This window comes from Homo sapiens, chromosome 20 (assembly GCF_000001405.40).
Source record: "Homo sapiens chromosome 20, GRCh38.p14 Primary Assembly".
Taxonomy (NCBI): Eukaryota; Metazoa; Chordata; class Mammalia; order Primates; family Hominidae; genus Homo; species Homo sapiens.
Genome location: NC_000020.11, coordinates 62,970,218 through 62,984,676, shown reverse-complemented (window position 1 = coordinate 62,984,676; position 14,459 = coordinate 62,970,218). Strand labels below are relative to the sequence as shown.

Below are 14,459 nucleotides of genomic sequence, written 5' to 3'. Positions count from 1 at the left end.
ATTTACCAAGGGTTCCAGCTTTTTATCAGTCAAACGCCTTAAGCACTTTGTCAACCTGGACATCTGGCCGCACGTTTAAAAAATTTTTATTTGCTAAAATATTTAGTAGTATGGCAGGGGGGCTAGCTGGAGACTCGGGCGGCCACGCATATGCAAAGAGCTCGAGTTGCTTCGCCAGCTCAGGGCTTGGCTGCTCCAGCCCAGGACAGGGCAGGGAGGTCAGGAGGCGGAGAGGATGCGCCCTGTCCTGGCAGGAGGGGCCTCCTATGGATAACCAGAATCTGCCCCAGTCGGGGGCAGGGTGGGCATTCTTGGGGAGGATTTGTAGCCCTCCCCGCACACCAAAGACCAAGGGGGAATCTGTGACTTCGGGAGACAGTTGCAGCTGAAAACAGGGGATCGGCCAAAGCTGCACACGTGCATCTCGAGAGCGGCGAAGATTCGACACCTCTTCAACAGGACACGGGAGCCAGGTGGGGGTGTCCAGCCCTCAGCCCTCAGCCCAGGACAGACCAGCGAAACGCCGTCCACCCATAGGTGCCTCCATGCCATGGTACGCCCTTGCAGCCTAAGTGAAGCACGGATTCCTGCTACAACAGGGACGAACCTTGAAAACTCAACGCTCTGTGGAAGAGGCCGGACACGGAGGGCACTTGTGATTCCACTTTCATGAAATGTCAGAAATTGCAAAGCCACGGAGACAACAAGTCGATTGGTGGTTGCCAGGGGCTGGGGGCGGGGTTTGGGAGTGATGGCTTACAGGTACAAGGTGTGTTTTGACAAATTGAAAAGATTCTGGAAGTACATGGTGGTGATGGTTGCACAACATTGTGAATGTCCTTAATGCCACTGAAAAGCACACTTAACAATGGCTGAATTTGCCGGGCGTGGTGGTGCGGGCCTGTAATTCAGCTGCTCGGGAGGCTGAGGCGGGAGGATTGCTTGAACCTGGGAGGTCAAGGCTGCGGTGAGCTGTGATTGCACCACTGCACTCCAGCCTGGGCCTGCCTCAAAAAAAAAAAAAAAAAGTGGTTGAAATGGTAAGTTTTCTGTTATGTGTATTTTGGCACATTCTTTACAAAGACAATCACAAAGAAGAGATGGCACTGATGTCGATGGTAGCAGCCTTAACCCTGTCACACTGACTGATGGTCACAGGTCTCTGTGTGCCCACTGAGGACATGACGATGGATAAGAGCAGCCTGGCCTCGCCCCGGTAGAATCCCCAGTCAAGAGCAGGCACAGCAGTAACCAGCCAACTCAGCCTGAGAAGAAGGAAGGCTTCCTGGAGGAGGTGACCCTTGGGGGTGGGCATCCAGGCAGGGGAACAGCACATGCAGGGCCCTGAGGCAGCAATGAGGGTGCTCAGGGGAGGGGAAAGGGTGTGTGGGTGGGGGAGGGGGACTAAGATTGGGGAGGGCGGTGCCAGGTGCCCTGGCTGGAATGGAGGTCGGGGCCTGTACTGGGGACAGGGAGGGGTCTGCTCTTTGCCCTGAGCGCGGGGGATGCCATTGTAGGAAGGGGATGGGAGTGATGAGGGCAGCTTAAATCTCTGTGATGGAAACCCTGTCCTGTGTGCCCGCCACGGAGGCCACAGGCCTGCAGTTTTGGGGCAGGGCCCTCAGTCCTCTGTGAGGGCAGGTGAGGAGGCACCACCATCCCCCATCCTCTTCGCAGCCACCTTTAAGGCCACCCATGGGTTCCACAGCTTCCCTATTCCCCCTTCCAGGGACAACCCGGGTTCCCTGACCGTGTGAGCCATCGAGGTGCGGCCGGGTCCTCAGCCATCGACTGGGAGCAGGCTCAGCCACCGGCACCTCCCCCGGCCAGGCTTCAGTCCCTCCTGCAGAGCCTCCGGAAGCCAACTCGAGAATGCATGCACCATGAAATGGATTTGTCTTTGCCTATTAATTAATGCATAGCCTAATCACAATGCATTAGTTGGAAAGCCAGGAAGGACAAGAATTATAGCTGTGAAATGGTCCTGGGGGCAGTGGCCGTGGGCTGTGGGGGCCAGGCAGGGTGAAGTGGGAGGACATCATTTGTTTTCAGACTTAAACATGTGACCTCCTCCATGTTCCCTCCCCACTGCCCACAGCTTAGGCCAGTGGAGACGGTGCTCAGTCCCAGGACTTGCCCCCAGGCCTGAGAACCCGGAGGCTTCTCATGCCAGATCCTGAGGGCAGCCTGCACTCCTGGCCCCTTGGGCTCACAGCTCTGGCATCCAGCAGAGAAGGACGCCCAGTCCCAGGGCCGTCAGGGACCCCCAGAGCCTGTGAGCACAGGGAAGGCACAGGGCAGGGCACCCTCAGTGTGGAGAACCGGGTGGGGTCTGGAGAGATGGGGATCCTCCCCAAGCTTGTGGCCTGGCAGCTGTGGTCGCTGGAAGGAAACCCCTGGGAGGAAGTGGAGAGAGGTGGGGAGGGGTTGGGGCAGCTGGTGCTGTCGGGGCACTTCTGGAGGAGGCCAGAGCTGGGCACTGCCCGTTGCCTTCCAGGGTCCCTGCACTCAAGGCCTCGCCAGCCTCAGATGGGCCCAGCCTGTTCCTGCTGCCTCCTGTTGCCCCTCTCTCAGCCTGCCCCCTTCTCCCAATGCCCAGAGCCCTCTGCTGTCCCCAGCCCAAGTGGAGTCACGGTCCCCCAGTCTGTCCCACCAAGAGCCTGCTCACTGCCCCCCAGCAGGTCTTGGTCTGGCCGCTCCCTGGCCGCTCCCTGGCCTACTGGACCCTGAGGCCCCACACCTGCACCCATGGTCCACAGGCTCTACGCTGGCAAGGAGGGAGACAGCCCCGAGGTCTCAGAGTGGGTCACCCTCAGCGTCGGAAGGAGCACAGTGAGGGTCAAAAGATTCTGGAGGGTTCTGTGTAGCCAACTCACCTTTGGAGCCCTCGCCCATCCTGGGTTCTCACAGAGAGGCGTTAAACCACCGCCCCCGAACCCACCGGGCCTTTGCCCATACTGGTCCAGAAGCCCTGCCTGCCCTCCCCAGCTCTTCATGGCCTCTCTACCCTGAGGACACTGCCCCTGGCTTCCCCTAGCCCAGGGTCCCACTTCCCCACTGCATGAGCTGATTCATGCTATTTTCTGAGCCTGGGTGGATGGCGGGACCTCCCTGCACCACGGACAGAGCCTGGGGCCGAGGGGAGTCCAGCAGGAACCCCAGAAGGGCGCACACGGCCCCACTCTGATGCACAGAAGGGACAACAGCAAGAGTGACTTTGAGGACGCGGGTGGCAGCGGCGCCCACCCAGCTGAGACTGCCCCAAAGGAGAGACCCACGGAGGTTGCTGGGGGGAGGGGGGAAGGGGGGGAGGGGAGAGGGGGGAGGGGCAGGGCCAGCGCCACCTGCCGCCACCGCCCGCCACCCCAGAAGCCATCTCCTCTGACACTGGCCCCGCTCATCGCAAACTTCTTCAAAGGGAACATTTGTTCTCCTCTCAAGGAGACAGGCACATCCCCTCCCCTGCTTTCAAGTCCCAGCAAAGGCGCCAGTCAGCATGAGCGCTCTTGCCTGGAGCCTGCCAATTACGCCAGTCCCGGAACGCAGCCGAGCTCTCGTGTGGCCGCGCGTTTCAGCCGACAGGAGGCTGCCTGAGCCCCTCCCGCCAAGCGGCTCCGTGCCTGTCACCCCCACCCCGTGCCTCTCTGTGTGGTGCCGTCTGCACCCCGTCCGCGTCCCCGTCCCCGGGGACCCCGGTGGGTCTGGGCGCGCGGCCCCTCCACCAGCGATGCCGGACCTAGGCCGCAGGTTTGGACTGTGTTGTCTCCTTTACCTTTAGATGTTCAGCAGCATGAATATTCTTATTTTTTATTTAAAACTAATTTGGAGTTCTCGCTCTCCAAGGGGCTTCTAATCACCAAAAAGTGCCTCGGGCGAGAGCTGATTGACAGGCAGCGTGGCCACTTCTGAAGAACAAATTGGCCACTGGCAGCACGGCGCACAAAGGGAACACTCAGTGCTTATTATTTATGAGCTATTAGGGAGAATGCGATTAGCATCTGCTTCCCACATGGGCAAAAACACCTGTCAGACATCAGGAAACCATAAAACATTGCACGTTTAACAGCTACTTTGTTTAAAAAGTCATTGAAATTGAATGTCAGCTAAAACTTAGGAAAACATTTATTCTTCAGCCCCCTTTGAATCGTGCTGGTGAGCAAAGGAAGATGGGACTGATTCTGTCCGGGACAGACACCGGTGGTTTGTGCGCAGAGAGGGCCTCCCCGTGAGCAGGCACAGCCACCGAGCTGGGCAGCGAGGGGGGCCGCACTTGAGCCTGAGATGCAGGGTTGGGACTGCAGGACCCTCGCCCGTGGGGTTCAGACCAGGACTGGCAGGGAAGCCACCTGTCCCTGCCTGGGGCCGCTGGACTGAAAGGACCCAGTCAAATCTGGCAACCGTGGGCTGCATGAGTTCAGGGGCTATTCTCCTCTCTTCGTTTTTCTGCAAACAAACCGAGTTTCCTTGCCAGCTCTAGACAGCGACCAGCCGGCAGGGTTGGGCAGGGCTGGCAGGCAGTCCTGTCTCCTCGCCTCCCCTGCAGGGTCCCCCCCAACGCTGGCTGAGACGGCAGCTCTCCGCCCACGAGGGGATGGCCGCAGCGCCTCACCCTTCTCTCTGAGAGCTGCCGAAAAGCCGCCAATTAGGCCAATCCTGGAGATGACTAGGGACAGGAGCCTGTGACCCTGGGTGGGTCTGCACGGCAGGCAGGGATGCTAATGAAGGAGCCTGAGCTGTGCTGAGGGGCTCTGCGTGCTGGAGTGTTGAGCATCTGTCTGTCCTCTCCCAGGCCCCAGCTTGCCCAGGGACAAGACGAGCCTGAGCCACTTGCTGCCCACGGTCACTGCTCTGTATGGACTGATCAATATGCAAAATCCAAGACCATCATGAGCTTTGTATTGCAGTGGGAGGGGCAGGAAACTCCACTCTGGGCAGAGCTGCTATCACCTCAGCCCTCCTGGCAGAGGGGGCAGAGAGGGCCCAGCCAGACAGAGCCACGTCCTTGGCCCTCGCACGATGAGGGGAGGACCAGCCAGGGCATCGAGCTTCGGTCGGGCACAGGAGCCAGTATGTGTTCTCAGCTCTTATTGGGAGACCCTGGCTCAGCTGTTTGCGCCCCAAACATTCGTGATCCAGGTTTTCGACTGCTTTTGCCTGGGGCCCGCGTGGTGCTGTTGAGCTCAGGGTCACCTTTGTCACCCACTAAAGGCCAATGGAAGAATAACCTCCACTTGACATCAGCTAGAGCTTCAAACCCAGCCAGGAAACTGAAGGCGCCCAAGAGAGATGGGGCGTGATAATTGGCAAATTTTGACAGTGGCCAAGTCTTGTTCGTAGTTTTCCACATAAAAAAGTTAATGTTGGTAAAATCATTTCCTCCAATTAAACGTAGAAATGGAAAATGTTTGAAAACTGGGTACGTGACCGCTGATCCTTGAGTTCCCTGGCTTAGCAAGGGAATGTCCAAGAAAGTCCCTCCTAAAACCATCCGCTCCATGGGATGCTGGCAAAAACACAGAGACAGACCGTCCTAGGGTCAGCGTGGGGGCAGCGGTCAGCCGCGCCGGTGCCTTCCCGAGCCTGTAGCCAGATTGTCTATTTGGGGAGAAAATGGTGGCACGGGGAGCACGTAAACAGCCTAAAGGGCGGAGGCAACTCCTTCGCTGAAAACCCCTCAGGCCCCGTGAGAAGCCCACACTGAGTGTCCACAGGAAACACCCCGGCCTCCGAGGGTCCCCCCGTCCCTGGGCACTGCCATCCACCAAGCTCGGCCCCCCAGGACAACGGGGTGAGGAAGTGCTGCCCGTGCCCAGCTCCGGAGGGGTCCCTGAGGAGGAGGGGCCCGGCTGCTCAGGGCTTGTCTCCAGCTTCCCCATGCTGGCTCAGGCTGCGGGAACAGAGGACGCTTGGGGACAGGAGGAGCTGCCGAAGCAGAACTGAGACTCAGGGGCCATGGAGGGGGCGGAGGCTGAGTCTTCCTGGGCTGGGCGGGGGGACCTCCAGCCTCCAATTGCCCAAATGAGCTTCAGGAAAGGCTTCGGGCCTTGCTCGGGTGAGCAATCCTCTCATCCTTGCCTGGGACCATCCTGGCCCTGGGGGAGGAAGGAAGGAGGATGGCCTGGGTATGAATGGCAGGGAGATGCCCAAAGGAAGTAGCCAATCCCAGATCCCACTCTCAGCCACCTGGGACAGGCGAGGTGGTGTCTGGGGCTGGAAGCAGGGAGCAGTTTTCTTGGCCTCTGGGGCTCACAGCCCCCTGCTATGTGTCCCTGGCGAGGCCCAGGGAGCGGGGTGCCGAGCAGAGGTGTCTCAGCAGAGGGAGATGGGGGTGGGACAGCCGCTGCCCTTGACAGGAGACCCTACGACCCGGCAGGAGAACGCTTCCCATTAGGGGGCCCAGGGGAACCCGCGGTGCACAGACGCCCAGCAGCTCGAAGGATACTGACCAAACCCCAGAGGATGCCTGGGCTCACTCGTGTGTTTTACTTTCTCAGATAACGGTATGCGGTTTCTGTGACGTCTATCAAGGTGACATCCTAAAACCAGAAAGAGGAAGTGCGCCAGGAGGGGAGATGGCCCACGGGAGCTGTGAGACCCCACCCTGGCCTCGTACCCACTCAGGGACCGGCCGCCCCAGCAGGGTGGTGGGGACGGTTCGGGGGCCAGTTCCACGTGCTCCACTTTAACAGGGGCATCAGCAGCTCCCCGACACCAGGCAGGCTCTTAGGACCCCTCCACAGCCTCGGTCCCTCCTGATCCTCCCGTGGGTCACAGTTCCAGCCATTCTAGTGGGCGTGGCCACAGTGCCAGCCAATCTAGTGGGCGTGGCCACCGTGCCAGCCATTCTATTGGGCGTGGCCACAGTGCCAGCTATTCTAGTGGGTGTGGGCGTGGCATCAGGTGGGGGTTTCTATTCTGTTTATAATGACACGTAATAACAGTCCATGTTGCAGGCACAGCTTACCGTTGCACACAGGGCGCAGCCATCAGAGCAGCGCGGCTGGCGCCTCCAAGCTTGTGAGTGTTCTGTGGGGCTGACACTCCAGGCCCTGCTTTCTGTGGGCTGACCCTCCGGGCCCTGCTTTCCAGGCTCTGGAGCCTGTGTCACCCCTCTCGCCACAGACCCGCATCCCCTGCAGTAGCACCTCCTGCCTGGGCCCATCCCTAGGGCTCCATCTGTCCCCAGCTTCCTCCTGGCTGGACTGAGTCCTGTGGCATTGTGGCCGAACATGTCATCTGCCGTGGTCCTCTCAACTCGGTTTGGCTTTTTTTCCTTATTAATAGGGAGGGTCTGCTGGGAGCCCTCCCAGCAAGGGGCTTGGGGTCTCGCCTTAGGCTGGGCCCCCACAAACTTGATGGAGATGGAGATTTGCCGACGGAGGGTCCTGGGGCTGGGGGGCAAGGCAGGGCGGGGGAGGAGTTGGGGTGCGATGCAGCCCCGACAGAAGCTTCTGCGGCCCACAGGTGCTCTGGAGCCCCCGTGGCTTCGGGGTTGTCCCCCATGCTGACCAGTCGTCAACTTGCTAGCGTGAGACCCAGGAGAGGGACTCAGCTGTGAGCCGTCTGTCGCCACCACCCCTCAGTCCCCAAGGAGGTCAGGGCAGCGCCAGGCTGTCGTATGCTCTCGGGTAGCCTCGCTGCTTGGTAGACCCTGGGTCCAGGGCAGGCGGGAATGGAGCCTCGCTGTGCTGGGCTGAACTGTGTCCCTCCCCTTCCTGTGCAGAAGCCCTAACTCCCACCTCAGGTGCAGCCTCATTTAGAGTTAGGGTCTTTAAAGAGGTAAGAAAGGCAAACTGAGGTCACTGGGGTTGGTCTTAATCCAGTCTGGCTGGATCAGAAGAGGAAATTTGGTCACAGACATACACAGAGGGATGACCAGAAGGACACAGGGAGGAGAGTGGCCTCCGGAGGAACCAGTCCTGGTCTTGATCTCGGTCTTCTGGGCTCCAGAGCTGAGAGAGAGCCCATTTCTTTTGTTTGTTTGTTTTTGTTTGTTGAGACAGGGTCTTGCTCTGTCGCCCAGGCTGGAGGGCAGTGGTGCAACCATAGCTCATGGCAGCCTTGACCTCCTGGGCTTAAGCCATCCTTCCACCCCAGCCTCTGGGGTAGCTGAGATTACAGGCTCGTACACCCACACCCGGCTAATATTTCTTTTTCCTTTTTGTAGAGACAAGGTCTTGCCATGTTGCCCAGGCTGGTCTCAAACTCCTGGGTTCAAGCAATCCTCCTGCCTTGGCCTCCCAAAGTGCTGGGATTCCAGCCACTGTGCCCCGCTGAGAAAACTCATTCTTGTTGTTTAGGCTGCCCTGTCACAGGACCCCGCTAGGGCAGCAGAGGTAACTCACACGACACCGTCAGACCCACCCCAGCACCAGGCCTGTCTGTGTGGGAGTTCCAGATTCCATTCATGGAAAACGTTCCTATAGGCAGCCATAAAAATAGATGGCAAGGGGAGAAGGGGCCAGAAAGACCTGGAGCCTCTCTGCTGGGGGAAGGTTGGGGGCAGATGTGGGTGTGGGGCTGGTGTGGGTGGGTCGGGGGCCCCAGAGGCAGTCCTGTGCCTGCTGGGGGAAGGTTCGGGGACAGGTGTGGGTGTGGAGCTGGTGTGGGTGGGTCGAGGACACCAGAGGCAGTCCTGTGGCACCTGTGCTGGGGTGGGAGCACACCCCCAAGACCCCCACATCACAGAGGCTGGTGTGGGTGAGTCAGGGGCCCCAGAGGCAGTCCTGCGCCTGCTGGGGGAAGGTTGGGGGGAGGTGTGGGTGTGGAGCTGGTGTGGGTGGGTCAAGGGCACCAGAGGCAGTCCTGTGGCACCTGTGCTGGGGTGGGAGTGCACCTCCAAGACCCCTGCATGACAGAGGCACAGGGAAAACAGTAAAATACATTTCCAGCCTGAGCTCTAGCTGAAGGTTCTCCAAGCCGGAGGAAGGAGGGAAGATGTGAGCCACTGCAGGTTTGGAGGATGGTAATTAATGTTAAAGGCATCAATAATTTAATGGGACAGGCTGTATTTTATCCTGCATGTCTCTGGCATTTTTAGTGGCCTCTCAGATTTGTCCTTGGCATGGACACTATTGGCTGAGGACTTCTTCCTGAAGCAACGCTGAGGTCCAGCTGCCGCCTCAGGGGGTGGGCGGAGGTGAAGTCAGTGCTGGTCAGATTCTCTCTGAGCAACAGCCATGAGCAGAGGCCAGATAGCTACAGAGGGCCGGGGCTCTCCGGGCAGCAGCTGGCTGGCACTGGCACTCGGGTGGGCACATGGGCGCTCCCTGCCCAGCACTCCCTGCCGGGCCCCTTCTGCCACTGGGGCTCCTGGGTCTGCTCTCTCAGTGAACAGCCTTCCCTCCTCCAACCAGCTCAGACACCCCCTCCCCCCACCCTAGGTGCATGTCTGGCCTCTCCAGGTGGCTCCTGCGTGGGGTGATTCAGCTTCCTCACAGCATGGTGGCCGGGTCCCAAGAGTGAGTGCCCAGGATATCCAGGCAGAAGCTGCAGAAATCACATTTTAGCTTCAGAAGCAGTCACAAGTCCCCACCCCCAGATTCAAGGGGAGGGGACACAGGCTCCATCTCTTGAGGGAAAGAATGTGGGTGCCAGTTTTAAAACAGCCTCAGCAGGGCACCCTCCCACGATGGGCACAAAGGTGCCCAGGCAGTGCTGGGATGGGAAGACCCTAGAATTTTGGCAAACCAGTGTGGGAGACAAGTGTCCCTGGTGCCTCTCAGACACTATATTTCCAACCCACAGATAGATAAGTTGCGGGGGCAGAGAAGAGTGCTTGGACCCCAAGGGGGGTCACAGGGACCTCGGCCTCCCCATCCATGGCTGTCTGGCCCAGGGCCCCTCCTGTACCCCACATGGCCACCAGGTTGTCCAATGGACTCCAAGGAGGACCAGCCAGAGCTGGGCTGGAAGGCGAGGCGTGCCCTGAGGGTGGACACCCCCGGCAGCCCCCACTCCATGCACGAGCACAGCCTCCCTGTCAGCTTCTTTGAAAGTTGAGAGCGTCTTTTGTATTGCAAAGGCCAAAGGGCCAAGCACCCCTTTAATTAAAATGCACGTCCTTTAATTAAAGGCCTCATAACACATGAAGGGCATCCACTGAATTACGATGTGTGACATAGTCATTACCCTGCTGTTAATTACTAATTAATGAAGCTATTTCAATAAATAGCTTCCTCACCGTCGCTCCCCCTCGGACAGGCCCCCTGCTGGGCACGTCGGAACACAGACCTCGGCTCCGCGCCAGCAGCCGGCGACGCTGAATATTCATGCCTCGACTTCCACGCTTTACAATTAAACACAATAAAGTAAATTCCCGTCAAAAGTATATTCCAACCGCTGCCCATCTTTCCTTCTGACCGACTTGGCAGGACCCAGGGGAGGGGAGGGGCTGGGCAGCCCGGCGGTACCCACTGCTGACAGGCAGAACGCAGCTTGGAGGGCTCCTGAGAGGTGCTCCCACTGGGGCATCCCCCAGGCATTGTCCCAGCTCGAGTGTCCCCATCCAGGGGAATAGATGTCCAGGGTCCCCAAGGGGGCAAGCAGAGATCTCCAGGTATTGCCGCCCCACAGATGAAGGACAATGGCCCAGAAATAGGGAGACAGGCTGCCTAGAGTGGGGGGGGGGTTATTAACATACTAATGGTGGCTATTAAGCGGCCATTAAAGATCCTGATTTAAAGAAATGACAGGCCGGGCGCGGTGGCTCACGCCTGTAATCCCAGCACTTTGGGAGGCCGAGGTGGGCGGATCACAAGGTCAGGAGATGGAGACCATCCTGGCTAACATGGTGAAACCCCGTCTCTACTAAAAATACAAAAAATTAGCCAGGCGTGGTGGCGGGTGCCTGTAGTCCCAGCTACTCGGGAGGCTGAGGCAGGAGAATGGCAGGAACCAGAGAGGTGGAGCTTGCAGTGAGCCGAGATCGCACCGCTGCACTCCAGCCTGGGCGACAGAGTGAGACTCCATCTCAAAAAAGAAAAGAAAAGAAAAGAAATGACAGATAAGTGCCTCTTACCAGGAGGGGAGGTGAGTAGGAGAGCCCTGGGGAGGCTGGCGTGGGGCGGTCCGGGCCTGGGGACAGGACCTGGGGGTCAGGGAGCTCGGGCAGGCACAGCCCCAGCCCTGGAGGGACATGCGGGGGGTGGGGCGGGAGGACTCAGGGCAGTGGGCTTGGGGAGAAGCCGGGAAGTGACCAGGATGGGGCCTCTAGGGCTTGTGGGCTGCGAGGCTGGCAGGGGCAGCCACGGCTCAACTGCAGCGCGCCGGGAAACTGGTTCTCCCCTCCACAGGCCTCTGTGTTTCCCAGCTTCTCCGGACCGGTCATCACAATAGTAAATATTTCCAACAGGACTCCCCGTCACAGGGACTCGAAATCTTCATGCAAAGTCCCGTGGGAAAGAGCAAGCGTAGAGCTCGGTGGGCACTGCAGCGCCCGGACCACCAGAGCTGGCACCGCCCGCATGTGACCCCGCCCCAGCCCGTGTTCCTGAGCTGGTGTCCTCGGTGATCCCGTGCCCACAGCCCTGTGCCTCGCCCAGCCTCCCCAAGCCCGCGGACCCGGAGCCGCTCCTTAGACGATGATTGTCCTGGATGGGGCCGGGACTGCAGCCCCCGCCACAGAACTCCTACCCGAGCCGTCTGTCCACACTGCAGCCCGGCCCTGCCCTGCTGGGCCCTGTGGTCTTTGAGGGGAAGGGCATGGGGGCGTGCTGGACCATGGGGAGGGGCGGCGAGGAGAGCCTGGAGCTCTGCCCTGGGCCAGGATTCTGCCCCTTGTCCTTTAAGGGGGAGGCAGGACACGCTGCGCACCCGGGGGAAGGACGCGCCGTGGTGCCCCAGGCTGGGGACGGAGCGGATGGTGGAAGGGTTCTTGCCCTCCGTCCATCAGGCCATCAGGCCCCTGAGGCACACCCACCAGTCCTGAGAAGATCCGGTGCCCACGCCCGGCCCCCTCCCCCGCGTCCCGCTCCTGGGCCTCACACTCTCCCTCCTCCCACCCCAAACTGGACGTCACTTTGCCCCCTGCCATCCCCCACGCTGTTCCTCCACCTCGTAGGTCTCCCTCGCAACCCGTTCCCTTCTCTCACAGCAGAGCGGCCGGCTCCTCCCCCACGCTGAGTCCCAAGCAGGAGACAGCTTTGCTGGGAGCTCAGAGAGCCGGCACAGCCCTGTCCGACGGCACCCTCTGTCGGCCCGACAGCGAATGACCGCCACGGCCAGGTCCTGAGGTTGTGTGCACACTCAGACGTGAACACACAGACGTGCATATTCACACGCACACGCACATGCGGCAACTCGCACACTCAGGCACATGCACACTCGGATGCGTGCACACACGTGCATGCGCACCCACACTCAAACACAGGGTCACACAGCTCATACACACACACACATATTCTCCCACACACACTCAAACACAGGGTCACACAACTCAAATACAGACACACACGCTCCCACACACATTCAAACACAGGGTCACACAACTCATAAATACACAGACACACATCCTCCCACACACACTCAAACACAGGGTCACACAACTCATACACACACACACACATTCTCCCACACACACTCAAACACAGGGTCACACAACTCAAATACACAGACACACACGCTCCCACACACATTCAAACACAGGGTCACACAACTCATAAATACACACACAGACGCATGCTCCCACACACACTCAAACACAGGGTCACACAACTCATAAACACACAGACACTACACGCTCCCACACACTCAAACACAAGGTCATACAACTCATAAATACACACACAGACACACATGCTTCCACACACAAACGGTCACACAACTCATAAATACACAGACACACACACTCCCACACACATTCAAACACAGGGTCACTCAACTCATAAATACACAGACACACATTCTCCCACACACACTCAAACACAGGGTCACACAACTCATAAATACACACACAGACACACATGCTCCCACACACAAACACAGGGTCACACAACTCATAAATACACACACACACCCGCTCCCACACACATTCAAACATAGGGTCACACAACTCATAAATACACAGACACACACGCTCCCACACACATTCAAACACAGGGTCACACAACTCAAATACACACACAGACACACACGCTCCTACACACATTCAAACACAGGGTCACACAACTCATACACACACAGACACACTCCTACACACATTCAAACACAGGGTCACACAACTCATAAATACACACACAGACACACATGCTCCCACACACAGCCCCAGCTGGCCAGAGCCCCTGCTTCCAGGGCACAAGGGCGCTGATGAGAGGTGCCGTGGGCCCTGCTGCCTCCTCCTGGCTTTCGGCTGCCCGCAGGGCTCCAACCTAGCAGCAGAGTGGTTTGTTGGGGGGGTTCTGAAAATCCAGACCCAGAAATGGGAGCTCCTCGTGGGCCAGCATCAGGATCTGAGGTGGGGGGGCTTTGGGAGCCGGGTCTGACGTGGCACTGACAGCACGTTCTGCCTTCTAGCAAGGTCCCAGGAGGGCGGGCACCGAGCTGGAGGACCAGGAGCCTGTGTGCGGCTGGGAGTCTCCTGCCCGAGGCTGTCTGTGCTGGCCTGCATAGAGGCCTCCAGGCTCAGAATCCACCCAAGCAGGCCCTGCCACTCGCTACCTCCGCAAATGACCACGGGGCCTGGACGCTCCTCCCCAGCCTTCCCAGGCAGGTTCCCTCTCATTCCCGCCCACGTCCCGGCCCCTGCGCCCCAGCCGTGTCAGGACTGCCACCCAAGCCTGGAGCTGACCTGGCAGAGGCAGTCAGCAGCTATGGCCGAACAGCTCCTGGAAGAAGGAGCCAGCACACGGGCGAATGGACGAGCATGCTCTGCCATCAGCGCTCACTCTGCGGCTGAGGAGCTCCATCCCGCGGTGCACCTTATTCCAGACTGGGGGGCCAGGGGGTTGGGCTCCCACAGCTCCTGCACCACGATCCTGCAGAGCTGCCCCACGGGGTGCAGATGGCATCTGGGCCTGTCTGCAGCAGACAACAACATGCAGACCCCACCATCCCCTCTGCTGGAGCTGGAGAACAAGCAGACCACCCACAGTCTCCCTGACTCGGGCTCCAACATCTGCCTGAGGAAAGGCCGGGGAGGTGGCACCCAGAAGCTGCTGGGAGGGAAGGGGGTGGGCCTGCCTGCCGTGCCTGGGCCTGCGCCCCCACATCCCACATGACGGCCTCCCCAGCCCCCACTCTGCAAGGAAGTGACAGAAACTCCACAGAATCCAGAGGGCCTAGGAATGTTGGTCCTGCAGGACTGTGCAGCCCAAGGGGCGGCCGCACTGCCCACCTAGTCCTGTATCCCTTCTGGGTTCTCCACTCCAGTTCCCTGGGAGGGGCTGCCTCCTTGCTCTCAGAGATTTTACAGCTGGCTGTGGATTTTAGACGGTGCTGACTGGTTGGGCACCGTGGTTCAT

The 14,459-nt window shown here is 59.3% G+C and overlaps 6 annotated features.

The window, feature by feature from the left end:
• Window positions 1,538-2,455: an enhancer, noted in NCBI's record as "H3K27ac-H3K4me1 hESC enhancer chr20:61613574-61614491 (GRCh37/hg19 assembly coordinates)". NCBI's record gives its function as "activates a minimal SCP1, AML or CMV promoter by ChIP-STARR-seq in naive and primed H9 embryonic stem cells {active_cell/tissue: H9 hESC(naive and primed)}" and the evidence as "EXISTENCE:reporter gene assay evidence [ECO:0000049][PMID:30033119]".
• Window positions 6,831-6,990: an enhancer, noted in NCBI's record as "active region_18220". NCBI's record gives its function as "activates an Ori minimal core promoter by ATAC-STARR-seq in GM12878 lymphoblastoid cells {active_cell/tissue: GM12878}" and the evidence as "EXISTENCE:reporter gene assay evidence [ECO:0000049][PMID:35858748]".
• Window positions 9,613-10,464: an enhancer, noted in NCBI's record as "OCT4-NANOG-H3K4me1 hESC enhancer chr20:61605565-61606416 (GRCh37/hg19 assembly coordinates)". NCBI's record gives its function as "activates a minimal SCP1, AML or CMV promoter by ChIP-STARR-seq in naive H9 embryonic stem cells {active_cell/tissue: H9 hESC(naive)}" and the evidence as "EXISTENCE:reporter gene assay evidence [ECO:0000049][PMID:30033119]".
• Window positions 10,465-11,314: an enhancer, noted in NCBI's record as "OCT4-NANOG-H3K27ac-H3K4me1 hESC enhancer chr20:61604715-61605564 (GRCh37/hg19 assembly coordinates)". NCBI's record gives its function as "activates a minimal SCP1, AML or CMV promoter by ChIP-STARR-seq in naive H9 embryonic stem cells {active_cell/tissue: H9 hESC(naive)}" and the evidence as "EXISTENCE:reporter gene assay evidence [ECO:0000049][PMID:30033119]".
• Window positions 11,798-12,047: a silencer, noted in NCBI's record as "silent region_13141". NCBI's record gives its function as "represses an Ori minimal core promoter by ATAC-STARR-seq in GM12878 lymphoblastoid cells {active_cell/tissue: GM12878}" and the evidence as "EXISTENCE:reporter gene assay evidence [ECO:0000049][PMID:35858748]".
• Window positions 12,068-12,127: a silencer, noted in NCBI's record as "silent region_13140". NCBI's record gives its function as "represses an Ori minimal core promoter by ATAC-STARR-seq in GM12878 lymphoblastoid cells {active_cell/tissue: GM12878}" and the evidence as "EXISTENCE:reporter gene assay evidence [ECO:0000049][PMID:35858748]".